Source organism: Homo sapiens, chromosome 6 (assembly GCF_000001405.40).
Source record: "Homo sapiens chromosome 6, GRCh38.p14 Primary Assembly".
Classification (NCBI taxonomy): Eukaryota; Metazoa; Chordata; class Mammalia; order Primates; family Hominidae; genus Homo; species Homo sapiens.
The window spans coordinates 53,126,292-53,153,794 of NC_000006.12; the positions used below are offsets into that span (position 1 = coordinate 53,126,292).

Below are 27,503 nucleotides of genomic sequence, written 5' to 3' on the forward strand. Positions count from 1 at the left end.
CAGGTCCAAGTAGCTGAGACTACAGGTATGCATGATGACATCCAGCTAATTTTTAATTTTTGGTAGAGACGGGGTCCCGCTATGTTGCCCAGGCTGGTCTTGAACTCCTGGGCTCAAGTGATCCACCCGCCTTTGCCTCCAAAAGTGCTGGGGTTACACGTGTGAGCCACCATGCCTGGCCAATATATAAGTTTTATATATAGTCTTGTCACTTAGACAAATGAATTTAGAAGATTTGAACAAATCTAAATGTTTATCAATAGGGACTATTTAATTATAATAGTCATGTAATGCATAATGCATCATTAAAAATGAAGCAGCTGTGATCCTATATGCTTATAAGAACTTAATGCTCAAATTGGCTCCTAAAACGACAAAAACTATGTTAGAAATGAATCTGATATGATACCACTTATGTCATCTCTCTCTTATATATATATATAAATATATTTTATATATAAAAGATATGTGTGTATTTTATGTAATGTATTTCATACACATTACATATAATTATATATATGCAGAGAACATTTCTAATATCTGGAATAATAGACAAGAAACTAGTCAGTGTTGCAGAGGGGAGACTAGAACTAGGAGACTTCTTTTTTTTCACTTTTGAATTTTGTATCATGTGCATCTGTTACTATTCTAATAAAGGAGAAGGAATAATTTATTTCAAAAATACTTGTTTATTGCATGGTTCTCTCCAGATTTTATGTCTAGGCTTACTTTTATCATAAAGTACTTCAGCAAAGAAGAGAAACTGGCATTCAAACATGGCCGGCCAATCATTGCCAGGCTAATTGCACAAGAGCTTCTCCAAGCAAATATTTCTCACCTATTACAAACCCCACATTGATATAGGTGCCACAAATAATAAATGGGATAAAACAGAAGCCCCTGTGCAAGGGGAAGTCAGTGAGGAAGAGGGAAGGAAACAAGAGGCAAGGAGACCACGCACATCACTAGTGTTTCTCTTCATATGGCAATTTAACATTGCTGTTCTTTGTCTTTATGAAAAATGGGGTTAGGTCAGGTTCCTTGTCATCACAAGTCTCAGAAATCATCTAGAAAACATATATTTTACACACTAGTCTCACAACTAGACAACATATTCAGTACTTCAGTGGTAGAATCTTCAGCTTTTCACACCTTAGGCAGTTCTTCCACCATCTATTTCTGTTTCTTCATTCTCAGTTCCCAAGAAGGCATAGATCAGGTCCTAGATAGGTTAGCATTTCACATGTCTACTCCATTTCATTTGCAACAATGACAATGAAAACCCAGCATGCAATGTGGCTGAGGTGCTGGGAACCCCAAACAATGTGGGGGAAAAAGCAGAGGGCACTTCACACCCCAGACGGGACAGGTTTCCATTCCTTACTGAGGGTGGAAATACTAGAGTGGAGGAGAAGAAGCCAAAAAAATTACTCATGTGAAGAAAAAAGCCTTGTCAGCCGGGCACAATGGCTCACGCCTGTAATCCCAGCACTTTGGGATGGTGAGGTGGGCAGATCACTTGAGATCAGGAGTTTGAGAGCAGCCTGACCAACATGGCAAAACCCTGTCTCTACTAAAAATAGAAAAATTAGCCAGGCGCAGTGGCAGGTGCCTGTAATCCCAGCTACTCGGGAGGCTGACGCAGGAGAATCACTCAAACCCGGGAGGCAGAGGTTGCAGTGAGCCGAGATGGCGCCACTGCATTCCTGCCTGGGCAAAAGAGCAAGACTCTGTCTCAAAAAAAAAAAAAAAAAAAAAAAAAGAAGGAAAAAAGAAAAAGAAAAAAGCCTTGTCTACTGCTTATCATGATTCTCATTTATCTGTGGTTATGTTTTAAAAATTATTTCCTAAGGAAATTCTTTCAGCCCTTCCCCATTTTTGAGGGGCTGGGGTGCACATAGTGAAAGATTTGGGTCATCTCAAAGGACACAGGTTCAGAAGCATATCATTGTTGCAGTGATCCAAACCCAAGTATGTCATTTCTTCCTCAAAATCCCATTTGCTGCTCTTGCTTGGCAGTGAATATTGCTGATGAGGATGAGAGGCGTAGGTGAAGAGAAAGGGGTCTTCTTGAGGTGAATGGTATGCAGGAGACTGGACGTAGCTGTTAAAATCCACATGTACTTTCTCTTCATAAAGATTACCCGCTGGATTTGGCCATAATGGGGGACAGCCAGTTTTGGCTGCAGGTGGCTCCAATGGAAGCTGCTGGTAAAAGGGTTCTGAAGAGTTTTGGGAAGGAGAGAAGCTGCAAGGCCAGCTGGTCAGAGGAAAAGGATAATTGGAATAACAGTTGTCAGCAAGATGATTTCTCCCCAAAGCAGCATTTTTACTCCACGCTTGTAGATCGCCATGATCAGAGTAGACTCCGGAGGCAGAAGGAGGAAGCAGGTCTCCACTACTGTAGGTTCTGCTACTGGACAATTTGCGCTTTTCATAGAGCTTCATGGGGTCCACAGTGGAAGTCTGGTCAGTCAGATCTGTGATTCCTCCCAGACCATAACTCTTGGAGAAGGAAAAGCAATCATTTAGTGAGTTCTGCTGAGGAGTGTTAGCTATTAAATGTCCACTGTAACTACCAGGCAATTGGACGCCTTCCTGGAAAGACCAAGTTAAAGGTAAACTCCCCTGACTTTGTGTTTCACCTGGAAGAGACTGGAAAGGAAAGTGAAATGCTCGTGTTAATAAGTTAAGCAAATCAAAACCACTGCCATAGGCACCCATGAGTTACTCTGTACAAATAAGAGCTCCATCAGATTTTCCTCATTCCTTACACATTAATACTTGACGCACAAACACATGCAGCGGCTTGACCACAACCACGAAACACTTGAAAAAAGCAAAGGCTGCCTCTGTTTCCATGTTAAAGCTTGCTAACCAGTAAGAGCCAAATTTCCCTACATTCAGTAGAGACATGAGTGTGTTTAAGATGTTTCACACTCAAACACAAATCTGATATCCTAATTGCTTTTTATTTATTCTTTTTTTTTTTTTTTTGAGATGGAGTCTCGCTCTGTTGCCCAGCCAGGCTGGAGCGCAGTGGCACGATCTTGGCTCACTGCAACCTCTGCCTCCCGGGTTCAAGCAATTCTCATGTCTCAGCCTCTCAATAGCTGGGATTACAGGCGCCTGCCACCACGCCCAGCTAATTTTTGTATTTTCAGTAGAGATGGGGTTTTGCCATGTTGGCCAGGCTGGTCTCGAACTCCTGACCTCAAGTGACCCACCTGCCTTGGCCTCCCAAAGTGCTGGGATTAGAGGCATAAGCCACAGTGCCTGGCCTCTAATTGCCTTTTTGAGAAACTTATAAGGAACTATTTACAAAATATCAAAGTATAACTTCAAAGATTTATATTATACTCAGCACAACTCCCAGGGTCTCTGTCTCTCAACATTTCCTCCCTTGACTATTCTATTTCTTAGTGCTGGTTGGAGTGTGAGAGACCATGGTTGCTATTGTTTTTTAGTTTTTCCTTTCCTCAAGAGATTTTTCTTTGAATTCGTGGGAATTTTGTTGAACCATAAATCAGACCTCTAGAACACGAGTGGTACATTCATTTATTTTTCTAAATGGAGGAGGTATATTGTTCTTTAGTTAATCGTTAAAAAAAGGATCTGGTTGAGAATTAAGTTATGCTCTTGTTTAGGTAAAACTACTAGCTGTTAAGGGGATACTTTTAGGGGGTAGAGAAAAAGGGCTGTGACCAGGTAGATTGGATGAGAGACTGAAATGCCACTTGACTTGTCCCATGGCTGGGAGAAAGGATGAGGAAATAGCCATTTGGGTTTGGGGGGCTTGCATTTCCCTACAACAGATCCACATTACAATTTTTTTAAATAAAGTACATTTACAGCCTCTAGGGATGGACCAGTTCCATCTCTGTTCTCCCAAAAAGAAATGTGCACCTTTGAACAGTAGAAAAAGTATAGGAACTACTATCAATATTAAACAGACAAATGCAAAAAAACCTATGATCTGCTGCCCATAAAGCAGTGGACTTCACATCACAGTTTGTCTATAGGGAGTAGCCTCCACTCCACTATTGCCACCCTGGGACAGCTATCATTTTCGGAAACTGCTTGCTTATTTCATCTTGGTAGAGTGTGCTAAGAAAACAATCTGTTTGGGGACGTATGGAAATTCAGGAGGGCGGGGAGGGGGCAGGCGGTGAAATGCATAAGGCTACTATTTTGTGGAGATTGTTTCAATTGTTTTTGGTTCTTGCCAAATATAAGTTAAGTGCTAATTCAAGTTTCTCTTTGTAATTGTAGTAGGGAAGATGATTCTCCAATTACATGGACTTTATGGTTCCCAGCATGCTACAAAGATGGTAGAAAGTAAGAGTAAAGCCTCAGATTTAATTTCTTTAGCAGATGCTTGTTTGTAGATGAGCCTGATAATCCATGATTTCTGGCTTTCCTGCGTCAGCAAGGGACCCAGGAAATCTACCGCCCCCAGCACAGGCGTGGCAAGCTACTGCATGTATTGAACATACATAATGAAGGATTACCCTGGTCTCTGTGCTCCCCTTCAGGCTCAATGAGACGGAGGAAGGTGCTGTGTTCACTTTCTTCATGGCTCTTCTTGCCTCAGCTTCTAACTTGGTTTCTGGTTTTGGATGATCATGCTCTCCCTTTGACTTAAATGAGACAAGGAAGTAGAAAGGAAATGATATAACACTAACTAGACTGTGTTTCATGGTGTATCAGTTTTTATTTACTGTGTGTCCTGCCCCGGGGGTGGTGTTGCAGTTGCCTATGGTAACCAGACTGGATGAACCTCTGAAGGCGCTCCCAAGCCCACCATGCTCCTGCCTGCCTGCCTCTCACCCACCCAGCAAAGCCATAATCACAGTGCTAAGTAACACTTACTAAATGCTTCCTGTGGTATGTGCCAGACACAAATAAACACCCTGTGTGCCTTATATCTCATTTCATCTTCAGCACAACCATTGAGGTACACACCATTATTATCACCCCCAGTTTACAGAACAGGAAACTGAGGCATGGAGTGATTACGCCAGCTGGGTAACCTCCTCTAGAAGTGAGGGACCTAGGATTCCCCTACCTGGAGCTGGCCAAAGCTGAGAGTCAATAGTTAAACATTCAGGAATTTTGTAGGCTGATTGTTAAAAATGACTGCTGGCTTGAAATCAGCCACGGTGAGAATATTTCCATTACAGAAGTTGGCAAATGCTACAAATCAGGACATTTTCTTTTTGGAGAGCTGGTTTACCAGCATCCCACTAATTCAAACCCAGGCAGTCTGAGTCAGGGTCCATTCTTCACCACTGTTGGTGCCACTGCCCCATTAGTACTCTTACACATTCTACAGAAAACTGGGACGTGGAAGAGGAAAATCACCTGCTCAGGTTTAAAGACCGAGTAAAAAGTCAGAGCTGGTGTTCAAACTCAGATTTGCTGAAGGCTACCAGCAGCATGCAGCATGCGGCATGCTTAGAAGCACTGTGCTAACCTCAGTGTGACTAGATTAGCTGCCACTTCTCCTGAGAAGTAGAAGCAGAGACAGGCAGCTCCCCTTCTAGAGCTCCCCAGCACTTCAAACATCTATTAGAAGTGCAGGGGACAGATACTTGCTCTCTTAGAGTGTGAGCCCTCGGGGATGGTGCAGGATCTCATTCACAGGTGCATTTCTAGCCTCTGGTGAAACTCCTCAGTAATGAAACTCTCACGTAACTAACTCAAAAATCCAACCTGGAAAAATATAAAGCGTCCGTCGTGCCTCCAGAAGTTGGTGACCGGGAAGCCCCCATGACCTCGGCAAGGGATGAGCTTCAGAGGCCCGTCACAGTTGGGACAGCGTTTCCCTACAAAAGAGCAGAGGAAAATGACCACACCTGGCTGAACCATGTCGGTTGTTGACTCCTGTGCAGTCTTGAAGATTTTAGCCCTGACTCAAGGACGGCAGAGTATAAATCTGGGCAGAGTTTCATGGGCTGAAATCCACTAGATATTACCCCTGACCCTCAGAAGCCTGGCCACTAAAATGGCCCACATGGGTCTCACACATGGATAGGGGAAGTGGTTGCCTACCAAGTAGGATATTTCACAGGTCAAGGCAGAGCTCTTCTGAGCAGAAAACCCCTCCCTACTTATTTAGTGATATTTGAAATTCTGACCAGGCACAGTGGCTCACACCCATAATCCCAGCACTTTGGGAGGCCAAGGCAGGCGGATCCACTTGAGGCCAGAAGCTCGAGACTAGCCTGGCCAATATGGTGAAATCCCATCTCTACTAAAAATACAAAAATTAGCTGGGCGTGGTGGTGCACACCTGTAGTCCCAGCTACTAGGGAGGCTGAGGCAGGAGAATCGCTTGAACCTGGGAGGTGGAGGTTGCAGTGAGCCGAGATGGCACCAATGCATGCCAGCTTGGGTGACAGAGTGAAAGTCTGTCTCAAAAATAAAAAAGAGAAGTTCTTTCACTTCACAATTAGAACTAAGGGTCAAGGGGCCAAGCTACATGGGAGAGTGAATGCAGCTACTACATTTTCACAGAGGTGTAAATGACTGATACCAGGTCCTGACCTAAGAGCAAGTTTTTAAAACAAACTACTGGGAAAAATATAAAGTAACTTGAGGTTTGAAGTGGGCAATGTACAGGGCATGCTGAATGTATCTATTTCATAATCCAGTGAATGTGTTTTAGAAAATGAACAAATATCTCAGCACGTGATTATGATGTGAACCTAAATGAATGGAATTGAGTCTAACCTTTCACAGCTGCCACTCCACATTAATGCACACATTGAGATCACTTAGGGACCCACAAGAAGTCCAGTGGCAAGTCCAATAAACTACTTTCTTCTAAATTTTACATGGGTCATTGATGAATTAACATTAACCCCTGAAGGGATACATTTTTCCTTTTATTTTTGGATGGAGTCTGTCACCCAGGCTGGAGTGCAGTGGCACAACATTGGCCCACTGCAACCTCCACCTTCTGGGTTCGAGTGATTCTCCTGCCTCAGCCTCCCGAGTAGCTGGGATTACAGGCACACACCACCACACCCGGCAAATGTGTGTGTGTGTGTGTGTGTGTGTGTGTTTGTGTGTTTTAGTAGAGATGGGTCTTCACCATATTGGGCAGGCTGGTCTTGAACTCCTGACCTCAGGTGATCTGCCTACCTCAGCCTCCCAAAGTGCTGGGATTGTAGGCATGAGCCACAGTGCCCGGCCATTTTTCCTTTCTTTTTGGAGATAGGATCTCACTCTATTGTGCGGCCTGGAGTGCAGTGGCTCCATTATGGCTCACTGCAGCCTTGACTTTCCAGGCTGAAGCAATCCTTCTGCCTCAGCCTCTGGAGTAGCTGTGACCACAGGCATATGCAACCACACCCGACTAATTTTTAAATTTTTTTGTAGGGGTTGGGGTCTTCTTATGTTGCCCCGGCTGGTCTGGAACACCTGGCCTCAATTTATCCTCTCATCTTGGCCTCCCAAAGTGCTGAGATTACAGGTGTGAGCCACCACACCTGCCATCTTCCCTTTAACAGGAGCCTTCAGTCCAGTGCCTTAACCCAAGGAGGCATTTTTGATGGTGGGTGCTCTGGGTATGGCAGATATGTGGGGTCCTTGCTGGAGCACAAGGGATCTGGTTGGTTCCGCTCCATATGCTCCATGTCAGAACAGCCTTGGCTGCCACTACACTCCAGGGTGATGGTTTTGCCCTTGGGCGGTGCTGGGACACAGTGACCCATCTGGCAGGGGCATCTGAGGGATGCCAGCTTTTTTGCTGGTGCCACTAAGCTCTACTCACGCTGCTGCTTCTGCCGGGCCTTGTCACAGATGGCAGGTCTCAGGTAGATCTTGCGCCCCTCCTCTGCGAGACAGTCGCGGCCGCACACCACCACACCCAGGCAGGACTTCTTGAGGATGCGGGAGTTGTGGTTGTTGGTATTGCGCATGGCCCAGCTGCTCAGGTGCCGCTGCGCATTCTTGTCCTCCGAGCTGTAGATGTGTTTGGCATAGGAATCTGGCCACTCCTGGAACCAGTCGGTTTTTTTCACGTTCTGATAGAAACACAAAAGATACGACTATACTTTAAGCTAGAAAACACAGCTGTCACCCACTGTGGAGTGAGTAGATAGGAAGGATGTTTTGGCATTCAGGAGCTGGGCAAGAGACCTTTGGCAAAAGCCTCCCTACATTTAATTCTGACAGTGGGATCAGCGAGCCCAGCACAACAGTGGCAACTGAGTGCTGTGTCTGTCAGGCATTCAGCCGCTGGACCAAAATAAATGATAGCCCCTGTGAGTTCCATCTGATTGACACTTCCCTAGCCCTCAGTGACACAAGAAATGACCATTTCTCAGTAGGAATTTTTGAAGGTTAAGTAATGCTATGCTCTTACACAATAACTATAGAAAACAGGGCCCAGTGTGGTAGGGTGTGCCTGCAGTCCTAGCAACTCAGGAGGCTGAGGTGGGAGGATGGCTTGAGGCCAGGGGTTCAAGACCAGCCTGGGCAACACAGCAAGACCCCTTCTCTAAAAACTCAAAATAAACTGTGGAAAACATTGTGGCGGGATAGTGAGATAATGTCTCGTACCACTCTGTGGTTATCTTACTGGGAGTCACACAGGTTTATGCAATGTCGCCAGAGATAAGCAGTGGGAGGGATGAAAAGCCCTGGTTCAGAGAGATCAAAGAGCCACTTTCTTCCCCAGAGATTTTCTTCCTTTATCTTTAACCCTACGTTCACGTGCCTCAAACATGACAAGGGAGTAAGAAAGAGCTTGTTTTGACTGAAAGCGTCTCTGTTATTGCCCAGGATTGGCGCTATGCCCTGTGTATGAACATTTGACTAAACTCTCCTTTAAAACATCACAGACAAGGAGAGTTGTCATTCAACGGACAAAGTTTCCATTTGCAAGATGAAAAGGTTCTAGAGCTCCTTTGCACAACAGTGTACATATAGTTACCACGACTGTACTATGCACTTAAACATGGTTAAGATGGTAAATTTTAAGTTGTGTTTTTGACCAAAATAAAATAATAATTAAAGAAAGGCCAGGGACACCAGACACTCAGTCCTTATAGCATACATTATTTTGCTCTCTGTGCCTCTGTTTCTTCATCTGTAATGTAGGGATAATGAGACCTGCCTACCTGAAGAGTTGTTCTGAAGATTAAATATGATTATATATATTAAATACTTAGCACAGCACCTAGCATGCTGTAAGCTCTAAATAATTGTTAGTCACTGATGCTGTGGCTCATATTCCTAGGCCCTACATTGGTGCACAGATGCTGCATTTGACAGACCCTTCCTTGTTCTTAGAATGAGAAACAGCAAGCAGTGTCAGCACTCAAACTTAGGCTGTGCCCATGCCCTACGGCTTTCAGAGACTTAGCATGGTGTAAGAACATTTTTCATCTAGACGGTTCTAGAAGGTGAAAATAGAAGATTCTAGAAGGTCCAGAAGAAAAGACTAGGCTGCTTCTTCTTTGCTTTCCCAACCAGAAAGCACAGCCCACAACATAAAAAAAAGACAAATTTTAGAAGAAAAAAGTAAATGTCAGTGTCAGGATTGACGGGCATTTACTGAGTTAGAATTCAAATTTAGAACGTGCCAAAGAACTTTGTAACTTGAGACTCTGGGCAAGTAACTTTGTCTTTAAAGCCTGTTTTGCTCTTCTCTAAAACTGAAACATTGATTAAAACTGCCTCACAAAAGTGCTGTGAAGAGCAGATGTGTTGTAAACTATAGATTCCATATAACGATACTTGTTGAATGGAATGTCATGGGGCCTGAGGTGGTCTGAGGAAATATAAATGAGAGGTTTTAGGTACATGCAGGGTAGTACTGTTTAGTGGTTAAGAGCTGCAGTGTGCAAACTAGGGCCCATGGGCCAAATCCTGCCCATTGCCTGCTTTTGTAAATAAAGTTTTATAGGAACACATCTATGTTCATTAACTGAAGTGTTGTCTATGGATGTTTTTACACCACCGCAGCAGAGACTGTATGGCCCACAAAGACTACAATATTTACTATCTGACTCTTCACAAACAGTCTGAGATTGCTGGCTGTAAGCTTGGACTCTGGAGGTACACTGTCTTTCTGGATATGAGTCTTAATGACATTCTTTTCTTCTCAGTGCCTCTGTTTCCTGCTCTGTAAAATGGGGTAACAGGAGTACCCCACAGGGAGGTTTTGAGGACTTACTAAATTAACATACACAATGCACTTAAAATAGTGCCTCACACGCAGCAGGTTCCACCTCAATGTTAACTGTTATTCTACCAGATCTGGAACTGCCCTCAGCCAGTCAATGTGGTTGTAAGAGTCACTGGCTTTTGGGAGAGAGAAGACCCAGTAGAGGTCACTTCATGCTTCATACCTTGCCAAGCCAAATGCAAGATAAGAGTCCAAGTCCCAGCTGGGTGCAGTGGCTCACACCTGTAATCCCAGCACGTTGGGAGGCTGAGGCAGGTGGATCACCTGAGGTCAGGAGTTCGAGACCAGCCTGCCCAACATGGCAAAACCCCGTCTCTACTAAAAATACAAAAAATTAGCCAGGTGTGGTGGCGGGCACCAGTAATCCTTGCTTCTTGGGAGGCCGAGACAGGAGAATCTCTTGAACCTGGGAGGTGGAGGTTGCAGTGAGCCAAGATCATGCCACTGCACTCCAGCCTGGGCGACAAGAGTGAAACTCTGTTTCAATAAAAAAAAAAAGAAAAAAGAGTCCAAGTCCCTATAAAATAAAAGCTTAATTGGTGCACCTCTTGTTCCACAACCTTCCTTCTCAGGGCATGACAGTGGCTAGCCCTTTGTGTGCTATGCTGTAACTACTGTGGTTTGGGAAGGGGGAAGGGTATAAATAATAGGAGGGTGGCATCTGGAAAAGTTCCCTGTGGTCCATCAGGCAGCTGCAGCAGAGATTCCCGGATGGCCAGGCCAGGATGCTGGTTGGACCATTTGCTTTTTCCAGACTGTCCCTCTCCTCCCCAATTCTCTGGTAATTTTGGGCTTGCTGAGACTCAATGCCCGGGGTGAGAGAAGCTCCCCAGGCAGCATGCCTCCTGCTCTCTCCACCCACCTTCTCTTCCCTTCCTTCCTTCCTTCTTCTGGCCCAAAGCTGCAAACAATGATGTCTTGTTTTCTGTCACAGAAATGCCATAGAAAGCATAATAGAGTATTTTATCTTTTGAAATAATAATGTAGGTTAAAACATTAAAATGTCTACTTTTGGCCAGGAATAGCGGCTCACACCTGTAATCCCAGCACTTTGGGAGGCCAAGGCTGGAGGATTGCTTGAGTCCAGGAGTTCAAGACCAGCCTGGGCAACACAGTGAGACCACGTCTCTACTAAAAAAACAAAACAAAACAAAATTTGAGTGTACTTTCCTCTAATATTGGACTGTAAAAAACTACTGGTGCACTTGAATTATTCCAGTATAAAACACAGTTGTCAGGATAGCAGAGATGAGGGCAAGGTAGACTTAGAGGAAAGCTGAGATTTTCATGCTTTAAAGGTGAGTGGCCACTTTAGGCTGGTCAGAGCCATAGATCCCATGAACCAGAAGGAGCGGAATGTATTTGTGAGAACATCTCAGATGTTCTGATTAAAGCAAAGACTCCTTGCCTGTAGAGGAAGAGATGATCTTTATCATCCTTTAAGCTTTTTTCTGACAGTCCCTCCACTGGTACCTTAGTTTTCCAGTTCTATTAATAATGCAGTAATGGCCAGGTGCAGTGGCTCACCCCTGTAATCCCAGCACTTTGGGAGGCCAAGGTGGGTGGATCACTTGAAGCCAGGAGTTCAAGACCAGACTGGCTAACATGGCGAAACCCCATCTCTATCAAAAATACAAAAATTAGCCAGGCATGGTGGCACATGCCTGTTATCCCAGTTACTCAGGAGGCTGAGGCAAAAGAATCGCTTGAACCTGGGAGGCAGAGATTGCAGTGAGCCGAGATCATGCCGCTGCACTCCAGCTTGGGTGACAGAGTGCTTTGTCTCAAAAAAAAAAAAAAAAAAAAAGCAGTAATAATTTGGACAACGTATGGACTGAGAACATTACTAGGAGTAAATATACTCACATCAAGCTAGTCTCTGGGCCATTTATTCATGCCTAGTCTTTGACCTGGACATTTAGTAGGGTCTTTGATGTCTTTTTACACTGAAATTAAGAGAAAACCCAGATCTCAATAATGCAGAGGAACCCAAGTGTCAGATGGATGACTGTGATTTCTGAAACCTGTTAAACCAAGACCTCAGAGAAGTAAAATTTAATAAGAAACAATAATCATTTCTTCATCATGTTTAGCGAATCCCCACAAAATACTTTCTTCTTTTTAGATCCTTTGTTTGTTTTAATTTCTAACTTTTCATGAGTAACTCTTTGTTTTTCCTCTTAGTTAAGAAGTTTATAATTGAAAGGGAATATTTCTGAGGTTTCCAACATGTAGACCTAGCTAATTTGTATTTGATTATCTCCTGGGTAACATCACTGGGGGGTTAACTGATATTTCTATGACTTCTGGGTATAATTTTTTACTAACAGATTTAATCCTCTAACTCAATCAAAATTTTTGTAGCTCTATGCACTTCTAGAACACCCTTCATACTCACCTCATTCTAACTTATTCAACTACTTGAAGTTTTCAGAGGTTATCTGAAGAAATGAAGTATGTATTGTTATATAAAACTAATCAATTAAAATACAAATTCTGAAATAAAGTATCAAAAATATCTACATTATCATATGATCATATTATGAAATTGATTTTCTTTTGGAATATAGTCTGCTCTTGCATAAAGTAAATATCTTCCAGGTTTTCATTAATTATATAAATAGCTTATTCATTACTTATAAATAAATATTTCTAAATAGAACAGGAATATCAAACAAACATACTTTAAAGCAAATTATATAGAGGTACAAAAATCAGATATTATGGAAAACAGGAAAAAAAACCTTCAACCAATGTTTTGATTTACATACAACTTTTCAGGAACTTATCTCTTCTGGGCCAACTGGAAATAAAACTCCAAGTGTTACCAAGGAAAAAAATTGAATTCAACAAAATGCTTTTGTGTTTGTTCAAGAATTACTCCTTAGGGCAGGCATGGTGGGGAATGTCTGTAATCCCAGCTACCCAGTAGGCTAAGGCAGAAGGTTGCTTGAGCTCGGGAGTTCAAGACCAGCCTAGGCAAGATAGTAAGACCCCCATCTCAAAAAAAAAAAAAAAAAAAAAGGGGGAATTACTGATTACTCTTTAGACTAATCCTGGTATTTCTTAGTCAAGAGATCAAGACTCAGGACAGGCCAGGCGCGGTGGCTCAGGCCTGTAATCCCGGCACTTTGGGAAGCTGAGGTGGGCAGATCACGAGGTCAGGAGATCAAGAACATCCTGATCTTGAAACCCCATCTCTACTAAAAATACCAAAAATTAGCCAGCCATGGTGGCACATGCCTGTAGTCCCAGCTACACGGGAGGCTGAGACAGGAGAATCGCTTGAACCCGGGAGGCAGAGGTTGCAGTGAGCTGGGATCACACCATTGCACTCCAGCCTGGGCGACAGAGTGAGACTCCGTCTAAAAAAATAAATAAATAAATAAAATAAGACTCAGGACAAAGTTCCTTATTTACTCTGAAAACACTAAGTTATGCCAAGTTACCTCAGCTTTCAAACCCCGTCTGTCTTCTCTTTTCGCTTCCCTTTTCCCTCCACCCAGCTAAGCAAGGGACCTGCTGCAGGGTACCAGCAGATGCAATAATGCTCCTATCTGTATCACACCAGAAGCACAGAGTGGCAGAAGAATTCTGGTCCAAATAGCAGAGGCCCCAGTGATCATGGGAGCCCATATAGGTAGAGCTCTCAGGGAAGTTCAAATGACCCTTGAGGTCAAGGAGAATGTCTGGCAAAGGGGGCAAAGTCACAGGAATCCCCATCAGAACAATGACAACGTGACCTGCTCATACAGGGGATAATAATTGACAAGAAATCCACAATCTGGTTTACCTGTTAGCTCCCTAGCACCAAGACACATCTGAGTACTACAACTGGCTTGTTCTGATTACATGTGGCCACATGGATTCACAGAGAGAGCTCAAATATTCATGTTTGATCACAATTTGGGGCTTATCTTTTGCAGAGACAAAGGAAGTTTGGCTGGCTAAAATCATAGTCCAGGAATGAACTAATCAGAACTGTGGCCCCTTTGCAGTTGACTTTACTATTCTATACTAGAGAATGTTCTCTCTACCAAAAAAAAAAAAAAAAAGTACTTAAACCTTGTAATTTTGTGAGTTAATGGCTTGGGGTGGCTTTGGCCATGGGTTTAATTTGCAAACTGCTCAGTGTGTAGGAACAAAATGATCCAGGGTGTTTGCTGGCTGTGGTGCTATTGGCACAACCTGAACTGAGAGAAACTGGCTGGTATTTGAAACAGAGTGGATATTCTCCTCTTGCTAGTGAAATGGGTACTATTTAAGAGAAAAAGGAACTGAATTTCTTCCCAATTTTCAACCAGAAGAAAATAATTCTTAGAGATTCAAAGTTCTCTCAAGTATTACAATCAGTACTAATGAGAGTGTGACACTCTCCAGGACCATGTAATCCACATTTTAAATCAAGACTAAATCAACACCAGACTTTTGCTGCTTGGATCAAGCAAACCTTAAAGCAATTAGATTTCACCTTTCCAAGTACAAATAATGACATAAATAATAGATGGTTGATCTAATTTTTTTTTCCTCTAACCTTACACAAACTCTTCTGGCCTTGCTCCCCATGCCAGAGTCATGTTGAACTGCACACTCCTTTCAAACTCCTCTAGCATTTTTCTACATGGCATTGATTCTCTATTTAGGCAGTAATCTTGTTCCACTAGCCCAGAAGATCATGAGCATTTCCACAGAAGTTAACATAGCTTAATGGCCCCAGTATCCCTGAGCCTACTACAGTGTCTCCTGCATTTAAGTTTCTCAAAAATGTCTGATATCTTAGTAAGGACATCACTGCTCACTGTTGTCAAAATTAACCCATAAACCTTGATGTATCTGAACTAGTTAAAGACACATGGAGTTTCTCAGACCAGAAGATGCAACTGGTATTTGGGTAATCATTTTGAAACTTGAAGGGCCGGGTGCGGTGGCTCACACCTGTAATCCCAGCACTTTGGGAGGCCAAGGTGGGTGGATCACGAGGTCGGGAGATCGAGACCATCCTGGCTAACACGGTGAAACCCTGTCTCTACTAAAAATACAAAAAATTAGCCGGACACGGTGGCAGGTGCAAGTAGTCCCAGCTACTTGGGAGGCTGAGGCAGGAGAATGGTGTGAACCCGGGAGGTGGAGCTTGCAGTGAGCCGAGATAGTGCTACTGCACTCCAGCCTGGGCAGCAGAGCGAGACTCTGTCTGAAAAAGAAAGAAAGAAAGAAAGAAAGAAACTTGAAGCCCGGGTGCAATGGTTCATGCCTGTGATCCTAGTATTTTGGGAGGCCAAGGTGGGCAGAACTCTTGAGTCCTGGGGTTCGAGACCAGCCTGGGCAACATGGCAAAACCCCATCTCTACTAAAAAGACAAATAATTAGTTGGGTGTGGGGTGCACGCCTGTAGTCCCCACTATTCTAGAGGCTGGGTTGAGAGAATCACCTAAGCCCGGGAATTCAAGGCTGTGGTGAGCTATGATTGCGCCACTGCACTCCAGCTTGGGTAATGAGAGTGAGACCCTGAAAAAAAAAAAAAAAAAAAAAAAAAAAAAAAAAAAAAAAAACAGAAAGAAAAAGAAAGAAAGAAGGAAGGAAGGAGAGAGAAAGAAACTTGAAACTTGAAGCATGTGAAAGGATAAACAGAAAAGGAATTTTCCTACGTGTTGTATAACTAATAATTCTGGCAAGAATATAAAATTATGAAATATAAACTATAAATGATCTAGATCGATGGGACAGAGAGTGAAATTAGAGAAATTTATAATCATAACAAGCCATTGCATTTGATCCTTTAAACCACATTTGTTAAATGCCAAAAAAGGTAGTCTGGGGAACATCAACCCCTGAAGGGCTTCAGGAAAAAAGTTTCATGGTCAAAAATAAGTTGGGGTAATACTGCCTAATACAGCCTCCTTCGGAGAGCCACCAATGCACAGGATGGTGAAAAAGACTCCAAGCCTGCAGTCAAGAAATCTGTTTATCCTTGTTGAACTTCGTATTGCTCTTTTTCTTTCTTCACAGTACCTATTAAAATTCCATGTAACTTGTACTCTACAGAATATATTTAGGGAACACTATTCTAAACATCTTAGAGACTGAGGCAGGATATGTGGAGAATTCCTATTTTCATTCTACAGGAGGTAACTAAGACTTAAGAAAATCAATTTCTCCAGGCTCACACAGATTCTAAACAATGGAGCCATTCATTAATGAATTCCATATTCAACATTTGTTGTTTCATACACGTCAGGCACTGTGCTAGGCACAAGGCTGACATTTCTAGAATTCTAGACTATTAGAACTAATAGGTACATACCAGACCATTTGGCGCAACCCCCTCATTTTCAGAGAGGAAAGGAAGTTTCAGAAAAGGTAAACAACTCAAGGATCTCCAAAAAAAAAAAAAAAAAAAAAAAAAAAAAAAAAGGAGATGGAACTAGAATTCAAATCTGGGGCATTTTTCTCCAAGTCCTGTACTTTTCATAATACACCCCTCTGTCTCTGGATATGCTCACACAATATAAACAATATAAAATCTAATGTCTGGAAATCTTTCCAAGAGCTCAAGTGTTTCTTGGTCTGATGACAAAGCTAGCATTAAACCCAGACGAGGATGGTATTCTCTCTACTCAGAAAATACTAAGGAATATTTGCATTTTAAATCATTTCCCCGACATATTTAACAAATTGGAAGACAGCTATTTCCGTGAGCAATCTTAGTACTTTTTAATGAACTATAAATACATTTCTAAAACCAAATGTGCATTTTTTGCTATACATTTCTCAGTTTAATGTCATGGGTAGCTGCAAACACTTTCATTTTTGGAAATTCATGTTGGAACATGAACTTTTATGAGCCTCAAGTTTCCCTATAGGAAAGAGGTCTTCATCTCTTGTTTATGGATCTGATGAAGAATCCTGTCCCAGAAAAAATTGCCAGTTAAGACACAGTGTCACCACCATTTCATGGGGTTCTCAAACTCACTAAAACTCTTGCTCTAGAATGTGACATTGTAAAGTCTTCTACATATCTGTTTACTTCAACTCTTGATTTCGTGTCTCTCCAACTTCTATTTGGGTGTTGCAATCATGAAGTTAGAAAAAGGTGAAAATATGGGTCCTGGAGCCAAGAGAAATTAAAGTTTACTTTAAAGTTTCCCTACAACAGTGACAATAATTGTAATACTAATTAAGAGCAACAACAAACACAAATCCCTAAAATCGATATTTGCATGATTTAACTGTGGTTTCTAGAACCATTTGTAAATGGATGGAAAGTGGGGCACACTTTCTGTTCTCCAGCTCTGTCCCAAGATCTACGAAGAGAGGATACAGATGTGGGGTCGGGGGTGGTGAGAGGGGTAGAGGGGGTGGGGTTGGAAGTTAAGGAAAAGCATAAAGAGAAACAAAAGGAAGTCTTCGTTAGAAATTCTGGAACAGTTACAAAGATAGAGGAATCTCTATTCCCTCTCCCCTGCTTCTGATAACTCAAATTCCTTATTACCCAGAATCAGGCAGACTGGATTGACTTTTTCATGACTTGGTACTGGTGGTGTCCAGTCCTAGCCTTCTAGTCACCTTTTCAAACAACTTCTAGTGAGAGCATCTTAAATGTTAACAAAGGAAGTCAAAGAAGTAAACAGTGATACATGTTGAAAATCAGTATTCAACAACCAATGTGTGCCTATAATTCCAGCTACTTGAGAAGGTGAGACGGAAGGGTTGTTCGTGGCCAGTAGTTTGAGACCAACTTGGGCAACATTGTGAGACCCTCCTCTCAAAAACATTTTTTTTTCAATTAGCCAGGAGTGGTGGCACATGCCTGTGGTCTCAGCTTCTAAGGAGGCTGAGGCAGGAGGATCACTTGAGCCCAGGAAATTGAAACTGCAGTGAGCTATGATGGTATCACTGCACTCTGGCCCAGGAGACCAGGCAAACCCATCTAAAAAAAAAAAAAAAAAGTCAGTTGCCAAAGAAAATGTGAAATGAAGTCACTATTTCAGTGCATGTATGGTATTTCCAAAATAGGAGGAGAAGAGGCCAGGCTGTTTATGCCTGTAATCCCAGCACTTTGGGAGGCAGAAGCGAGTGATTGCTTGAGCCCAGGAGTTCAGGACCAGCCTGGGCAACATAGCAAAGCCCTGACTCTACACACACACACACACAAGTACAAAAATTAGCTGGGTGTGCCTGTGGTCCCAGGTAGGCAGGGAGATCACTTGAGCCCAGGAGTTCAAGACCAGCCCGGGCAACATGGCAAAACCCCATCTCTACAAAAAATACAAAAATTAGCTGGGCTTGTTGGCGTGTGCCTATGGTCCCAGCTACTTGGGAGGTTGAGGTGAGAGAATCACTTGAACTCGGGAGGCTGAGGCTGTAGTAAGCTGAGATAGCACTACTGCACTCCAACCTAGTTGACAGAGCCAGACCCTACCTCAAAAAAAAAAAAAAAAAAGTAGAGGAAGAAGAAAGAAAAGAAAAGAAAGAAAGAAAGAAAATGAAAAGAAAGAGAGAGAGAAAGAAAGAAAAAAAGAAAGAAAGAAAAAAGGAAGAAGGCAGGAAGGCAAGGCAAGGCGAAGGAAAGGGAAGAAAGAAGAGGAAAAAGAAAAAAGGAAGAAGAGCATGCTGTATTCCACAAGAGAACAATATCATCTGGATTCCAGCACATTCCATTTAGACATGAATCTGAGTTAAAACTATCACTATAGCAAATAAGGTTGTATGAGGACTTGTGCATAACAAAGAGTCAATTTATGGCCAAATAAATCATCACGGATTTTATCATACTGTCTAGCCAGAGTGAGTGCAACCTGAGTTACGCCAACTTTGAAAGAGAAGGGAAGTAGAAATTTCTTTGCATCAGTCTCTAAGTGTGGGAGTCTGGTAAGTAAAGACACACTCAAATCATAGGTCTTGCCATCTCTTCTTAAAATCCCTCAGTCGGCTGTCTAGCTGAAACTCTAGGGGAGAGGAATTTACCCAGCTGGAATCCTCACCAATTTCCTTCCAGGTCTCCGCATGTTAATAGTCAAGACTTCACAGCCCAATGTTGAAGGCAGATTTTTATAGCAAGTACATACCTGTGGCAGTTTCACATCATTAATATCCCAGCTTAATATCTCTTTGTCTTCAGAATCAAAGTCGTCAGGTTCCATGATAAGGTCAGGCCAGCCAAGGTTTTCACCTATTCGACTCCCCTCAGAAATGCTTGAGAATTTTGTTCTCAAAGGTTCTTGATATAGCTGGATCGGCCCACTCAAGCACCTTGGACCAGGAGATTGTTTTCTAGGGCTAAAAAAATAAGTTATATTAGTATTGGCCATTAAAGAGATTTAAAAAAAAACCCCAATGCTCCTCTGCCAGAAAAACCTGTTTCACTGACATTTTTGCAAGTACCAACATACTAGTAAAAAACAAAACATAGGAGCCATAAGTGATTTTACTTAAAACTTGGCCATCGGGAATTAGAAGCGTGTGATCACTGCTTTCACCCTTGGGTTTGGGCTTGCTTTCTCATTGCAAGATCCAGGTTGTGAAGGCCTTAGCAGAGACAGTTGTCATCTGTAACCAATGGCTAGGACTTTTCCTGCTAGGGCAGGAGGATACTGGCTTGGAGTTGTTTCCATAGAAATGCCTTTATAAATTAGCTAATGTGTGGTTGAAGCTGCAAGAGGGGAACATCACACTGAATTTATCTAGGAAAATACATATATGTTTTATATATATATATATATATATATTTTTTTTTTTTTTTTTTTTTGAGATGGAGTCTCACTTCTTCACCCAGGCTGGAGTGCAATGGAGTGATCTCGGCTTACTGCAACCTCTGCCTCTTGGGTTCAAGCAACTCTCCTGCCTCAGCCTCCCCAGTAGCTGGGATTACAGGCATGTGCCACCACGCACAGCTGATTTTTGTATTTTTAGTAGAGATGGGGTTTCACTCTGCTGGCCAGCCTGGTCTCGAACTCCTGACCTCAAGTGATCTACCCGCCTCGGACTCCCAAAGTGTTGGGATTACAGGCGTGAGCCACCGCACCCGGCCAGAAAAAAAATATATTTGAAAATCCAAATCACTGTAAGGATTAGGTTTGGTCTCTGCAATAAATCCTGTGCGCACGATATATCTTCAAATATTATCAACTAATATGCTTATATCTGATTAATCTGAAACAGGGTTTCTTAAGTTTGGCACTATTGACATTTTGGACCAGATAATTCTTTGTTGTGGGGAGCTTTTTTCATGTTGTAGACTGTTTGGCAGCATCCCTGGTCTCTACCCATTAGGTGCTAGCAGCCTGTAATCCCAATACTTTGGGAGGCCAAGACACATGTATCACTTAAGTCTATGAGTTCAAGACCAGCCTGAGAAACATGCAGAAACCGTGTTTATACAAGAAGTACAAATCACTAGCTGGGCATGGTGGTGCACACCTGTAGTCCCAGCTACTTTGGGAGGCTGAGGTGGAGGATTACCCGAGCCCAGGAGGTTGAGGCTGCAGTGAGCCAAGATTGTGTCACTGCATGCCAGCCTGGGTGACAGAGTGAGACCTTGTCTCAAAAAATAAATAAATGAATGAATGAATAAATAAATAAATGAATGAATAAATAAAAGTTTGTTCAAATGGCATTTCTTCCCTCACGAGAAATAGTGCTCTAATTTCTAACTATAATTGGTTAAAGGAGGTTTACCAAGAAAAAAAGAAAGAAAATTTGAAGTGTTCTACCCTGAGGAAAAAAATGAATAATTTTGCAGATGAAAGCTACTTGTTAGTACGATATGAAGTGAAACATGTTCACATGTATAACATTTCATTTATTGGTACTCTTATAAAAACAAGAGACATAATGATGTTATGTAGAGCTATTTAATAGCGAACTCAAACTATAAGGTAGATTAATAGTCTAAGCTTTGGCGAGACCCATGAACTCTTTTCTTTAGTTTTTATTGTTTTTTTTTTTTTTTTTTTTTTAATGGAGTCTTACTCTTATCACCCAGGCTGGAGTGCAGTGGCGCAATCTCAGCTCACCATAGCCTCCACCTCTGGGGCTCCAGTGATTCTTTTACCTCAGCCTCCCAAGTAGCTGGGATTACAGGCACGCACCACCACACCCAGCTAATTTTTGTATTTTCAGTAGAGATGGGGTTTCACCATGTTGACCAGGCCGGTCTTGAACTCCTTTCCTCAGGTGATCCATACGTCTCTGTCTCCCAAAGTGCTGGGATTACAGGCATGAGCCACTGTGCCCGGCCTGTTCTTTAGTTATTTAGTGTTATATAATCCTAATACTTGTCAATCACTGAACTCTACCAAGGGAAAGTGTATGTATATAAAAGACCGTTGACCTGAACATAAGAATGAAGTTCCTTTTTTCTTTTTTGTGTGTGCTCTAGATGTCCAGAGAAATTTCTCTAGTAACAAACTATAGAAATGATCCCTGAAAGTATAGTCTTTATAAATAAAGTTCTTGACCATTAAATGACAAGCTAATCAGAGTCTCTTCCTGTCTGTTCCACATACCCATACTGAGCTACAACCTAGTGGTTGCAGAGCACGAAGTTTCTGTTCCCCAACTGAATGTTGATTTTCAAGACTAAATCCTCATGGATTTTAAGTAAAATTCTATGTTTAGGAAAGAAACATTGTGTTACTGAAGAAATGATGCCGCAAATTGACTCTAATTCAAAGGACTTAAATAACAGGTATAGAAGATGCAGATACCAAGCAGCAGTTCCGTGTACTTACCCTGAACAGTAACGATATTGTCTCTGATGGTGCAAATTTTGTTATAACTAATTGGAATAGATCTACTTTTTAAAAACCTTGGCAAATAAGATTCATATTTTCAAAAATCAAAAACATTGTTATAAAGCCTAGGCAATATAGACATAATTATTTTGTTTTTAAATTAAGGGAAGAATAATAAAGAAAATTTTATTACAGAACAACTATGTTACATTTTAGATTTTTCTCTCGATATTAACATTTGCTAAGCGAATGAGCATTAATTTAATATTTCCCTAAAAGTTAAGAACAAAACATAGAAAAGAAGAAAAAACCATTTTACAGCCCTTAAGTAAACTCTGTTTTCCTCTTCTAGGATTGAAAAACTACACTTGTCAAGACTCCTTTTTTTAAAGCAACTTGCGCAAAGTATATTCAATTTTCATCATTTCTACAGAAAAATGAACTAGAACAAATGAAACCCTGTAGGAATAGAGTGGTCGTTGCCACATCCCTTACATTTGCCTCTCCACGGGATTTCTGGCTTTCTTACCTTCTAACTTCTTACGGAGAAGCAGACAGCACTGTGTCGTGAAAATCTTACTGCTGGTTCAAGTCCCAGCAGGCTCTGGTCATTTTCTGAGCAGACGCTGTTCCCTATTCCAGGTCAGGGTACACTATGCTAATGAGTTCTGGCAATGGTCCAATCAAAATCTAGATGCTCTAGGCTCTGGATAGGTAAGAGCAGCCTGGGAGTCACTTAACCAGCCTGATTCTTCCCAGAATGCCAGCAATGTGATGAATATTCTATGATGTGTCTCTGAACTTCCCCCTCCCTTTATGTTATGAGGACATTTGAACTAAAATGGACATTGAAAAGAACCTCATAAGGAAGTACAGATGTTTTTCTTCTTGTGATGTTACAGGTTGGGCCCCAGGCAGACGATTCACAGTAGGTCCTAATTCTCCCACTATTTACCCGGCAGGTAATAGTTCTCTCTCATGTGTGCAAGAGAGAGAAGACAGACAGACAGAGATAGAGAGATATTATGGTGAGGAAATTTACTGGAATAGACAGTGGATAGCCAACATCCTCTATACCAGAAATACTGAAATGCTATCTTAACCCTAGCAATAATGTCCCACTAATTCTAAGTGTTCTGATCCCCTAAAAATATACAATTCTTGGCCGGGCGTGGTGGCTCACACCTGTAATCCTAGCACTTTGGGAGGCCGATGTGGGCGGATCACAAGGTTGGGAGTTCAAAACCAGCCTGGCCAAGATGGTGAAACCCCGTCTCTACTAGAAATACAAAAATTAGCCAGGTGTGGTGGCGAGCGCCTGTAATCCCAGCTATTTGGGAGACTGAGGCAGAGAATTGCTTGAACCCGGGAAGCGGAGGTTGCGTGAGCTGAGATTGCGTCACTGCAGTCAAGCCTGGGTGACAGAGCGAGGCTCCATCTCAAAAAAACAAAAACAAAACAAAACAAAACAACAAAAAAAAACGAACAAACAAAAACCAATTATTTCTTCTAGAGATACCCTCAGTGCTATTCTTCCTTTTAGAGACATCCGCAGTACAGCCTAAATCAGTTCAGTTCATATGTTTTGTTCTAGGTAGTCTGCCAGGCCTTGGCAACACAAGAGAGAATGAAAGCCATTAAGAAGTTCATTCTAGTAGAAAAGATGATTAAAGCTACTAAATAAGGCCGATTTAATTTGATGTATAGAATAAAAGTAATATAAATGAGAAGGCTATTAAGCTGGAGGGAGGAGAACCAAAGGAAACCCACCAAAATAATGCTCGATGAGCCTTTTGAAGGACAAATAGATATTTATCAAGGCGTGAAGGACTGGAAGAGGGTGTTTCGGGGAGTGACAATATCCTGGACAACATGACGAGGGATCAGTACCTGTCAGGAAGGTCCAGACTTTCAAGGATGAGGCTTAGGAGGCAGAGATGAGAAGGCGAGAAGGCAAAAGGCTTGGAAAGCCTCATAGTTGCATTCGGCGGCCCCTAATAGATTTCTCATTCGTCTTTCAGTTCATGAACAAATTCCTTTCCTGCCTGAAGTTTAAGACCCTGCTTCATCTTTTTTTTTTTTTGAAACGGAGTTTTGCTCTTGTTGCCCAGGCTGGAGTGTAATTGCACTATCTCGGCTCACCACAACCTCTGCCTCCCGAGTTCAGGCGATTCTCCTGCCTCAGCCTCCTGAGTAGCTGGGATTACAGGCGCACACCACCACGCTCGGCTAATTTTGTATTTTTAGTAGAGATGGGGTTTCTCCATGTTGGTCAGGCTAGTCTTGAATTCCCGAACTCAGGTGATCCACCCGCCTCGGCCTCCCAAAGTGCTGGGATTACAGGCGTTAGCCACCACGCCTGACCAACCCTGCTTGATCTTATTGTACTTTATCTGGCCAGTCTTGGTCTCCTCTCTGTAATCCCTTTGTTGGTCAGGAGGACATTTCTCCATCCATCAGATACATTGTATCAGGACAAAGCCTAAAATTATGCCAGCTGGTGAAAGAGGATGTCTACAGGGTCTAGGTCCAGAATCACAAGCGGAGTAAAGAGTGGATTTAGTGTCGACAGGCAATAAGTCAATCACTGGCACACCTGTTGTGCTTATTCACTTACTTAGGTCTATTCTCTAGTGTATTTTTCACATCCATATATCTGAACCCTGTCTACCCTTCAGGATCCCCAAAATGCCACCTCCTTATGAGAGCTTCCCACACTATTCAAGAACACATGATTCCTCATTTCTGTGATGCTCTTTTGTTTCTTTTTTGAGACAAGGTCTTACTCTGTCACCCAGGCTGGAGCACAGTGGTGTGATTATGGCTCACTATGGTCTCGCTTTCCTGGGCTCAAGTGATCCTCCCGCCTCAGCATCCCAAGTAGCTGGGGCTACAGGTGCTCACCACCACGTCCCGCTAATTTTTGTATTTTTTGTAAAGATGGGACTTCACCATGTTGTCTAGGCTGGTCTTGAATTCCTGGGCTCAAGAAATCGCCTGCCTTGGCCTCCCAAATTGCCGGAACTACAGGTATGAGCCACGGTGCCTGGCCATGTTGAACTCTTAACTGTGAATTATATGCTGTCTTGTATCACTTGGATCTAACAGTGTTTTTAAATTACAAAATAAATTCATGATTTATAAAAAAGTCATATTCTCATCTCCCATAGGTTTCCACTGTTAACATGTCAGGCATGTCCTTTCAAACTTTTGTTTTCCCATATCTTTTTGTTCCCATATAGAACAAAAGATATTATTTTTATTTGCAATCCTATTTTACGTGATATTGCCTTTAGTTGTTTTGTTTTGTTTGTTTGGTTGATTGGTTTTGTTTTGCTTTTTTTGGAGATACGGTTTCCCTGTGTGGTCCAGGGTAGACTCAAACTCCTAGGTTCAAGTCATTCTCCCCACTGAGCCTCCCAAGCAGCTGGGACTCCAGGTGCCCGCCACCACATCAGGCTATTGCTTTTCATTGTTGATGAGTGTTGGTTCTGGCTCCCCAGTGAGGCTGCTAGTTCTTTCACGGCCAAGTTGGGATCTTCTACTTTCCCTCTCCTCATAGAAAGACTTGCTGAGTTTCCAGCAGCAACATCACAGCCATCCTTGTCCCAAGCACCAACCCTACTCGGACACAGGAGGGCGCTGAGAAGCTCTGCCTTCACACTCTGATAGAGGTGTGACATGATGTCCAGACTAGTAAGGGTATTTTTGCTTTCTTGAGGCCAAGGTCCCAACTTATTACCCAAATTCTCCTAATTGTTTTTGTTTTGTTTTGTTTTTTGACACAGGGTCTTGCTCTGTCCCCCAGACTGGAGTGCAGTGGCACAATCTCAGCTCACTGTAGCCTCCTCTTCCCAGGCTCAACCTATCCTCCCACCTCAGCCTCCCAAGTAGCTGGGACCACAGGCACATGCTACCACACTCAGCTAATTTTAAAAACTTTTTGTAGAGACAGGGTCTCACTGTGTTGCCAGGCTGGGCTCGAACTCCTGGGATCCAGTGATCCACTGCCTCAGCCTCCCAAAGTGCTGAGATTATAGGCGTGAGCCACCTTACCTGGCCAAATTCTCCTAATTGGATCTCTGTCATTGTTATTAATAACAATAATCATAGTAGCTTCCCTTGACTGCACATTTACAATGAATCAGGCGCCATGCTTAATCACCTGTCTGTATTATCACTCTTGATCCATACAGCATCCCTATCAGATAGATACTATTTTTATTATGCCTCCTTTGTGGAGAAGGAGATCAAGGCTCAGACAAATAGCTTTACACAGAAATGTAAGTAGCAGAGCTGGGGTAGAACTCAGAGACATGCCTGTTGACCACGGTACTGCATGAAGAGCCCTATGTGTTCAGCATCTGGAGTCTTTGTCTCCACTCCTATAAAATCTGAGTTCTACATCACTCTTTCCACCCTGTGCCTCCTCCCCTAGAGACAGGAATCCTGCCTTAAGCCAGGTGGCTAGAGGCCCTATTACTTGGTAACTGACCTCAACCACTAATGATTGGATTTCTCAGTATCTCTACTTTTGCATTCCCTGACACTCTGAGGCCTGCCTATTGAGATCATTCTGGTTTTTTTTTCATCAATAGTGGTGCTTTAGGCATTTTAAGCAGGATAATTATTTGGGTCAGACTGTCCCATGCACAGAATTCCCAGACGCAAGATGCCAGCAACATCCCAGTCACAATATCAACCATAACCCACACCTTCATATTTCTACATGTTCGGGAACCAGGGAGGGAGCAGTATTGTGCTGCCTTTGGTTTGGGGTGACCATGCCAGACTCTCAGGGCTGACAAGTTTGCCTAGACTATTGCCTGCGGTTTCCAATTCACAGCCTAAAAGATACCTTGTTCTACCTAATGGATGAACTTCTACACTTACAGTTCTATCCTTCTGGTATCTACCCTATCTAGTTTCAGCCATTTGCCCAGTTCTTCTACTGTGGACTTTTTTTTTTTTTTTCAAGACAGAGTCTTGCTCTGTCACTCAGGCTGGAGTGCAGTGGCGCAATCTCGGCTCACTGCAACCTCCGTCTCCCGGGTTCAAGCGATTCTTGTGCCTCAGCCTCCTGAGTAGCTGGGGCTACAGGCGCATGCCACCACGCCCAGCTAATTTTTGTATATTTAGTAGAGATGGGGATTCGTCATGTTGTCCAGGCTGGTCTCGAACTCCTGACCTCAGGTGATCCACCCACCTCAGCCTCCCAAAGTGCTGGGATTACAAGCGTGAGCCACTGTGCCCAGCCATTCTATTGTGGACTTTTATTTATCATTTATTATGTATCCGGCATTTTTCCAAACATTTAGTTCTCACAACCACTTCATGAAATTAATATAAATTTTTAGTTGTTGTACATATTTGCTGGGTACATATGATATTTTGGCTACATGCATAGAATGTGTAATGATCAAGTCAGAGAATTTGGGGTGTCCCTCACCTTGAGTATTTACTGTTTCACATGTTGGGAGTATTTCAAGTCCTCTCTTCTAGCTATTTTGCAACATACAATACATTGTTATTAACTATAGTCATCGTACTCTGCTACTGAATATATTAAG

The 27,503-nt window shown here is 42.6% G+C and overlaps 1 protein-coding gene and 1 pseudogene across 1 annotated transcript; both read right to left on the bottom strand.

Moving 5' to 3' along the window:
• Positions 1–669: 669 nt before the first annotated feature.
• On the bottom strand, positions 670–22,550 carry GCM1 (glial cells missing transcription factor 1). The gene is made up of 6 exons (NM_003643.4): positions 22,463–22,550; positions 19,267–19,477; positions 7,781–8,033; positions 5,716–5,828; positions 4,512–4,640; positions 670–2,655 (listed from the first exon to the last, which is right to left on the bottom strand). Exons 2-6 carry the CDS (start codon positions 19,339–19,341, stop codon positions 1,915–1,917), a joined length of 1,311 nt encoding a protein of 436 aa, NP_003634.2. The 5' UTR covers positions 19,342–19,477; positions 22,463–22,550; the 3' UTR covers positions 670–1,914.
• Positions 21,538–21,638, bottom strand: LOC124901513 (uncharacterized; annotated as a pseudogene).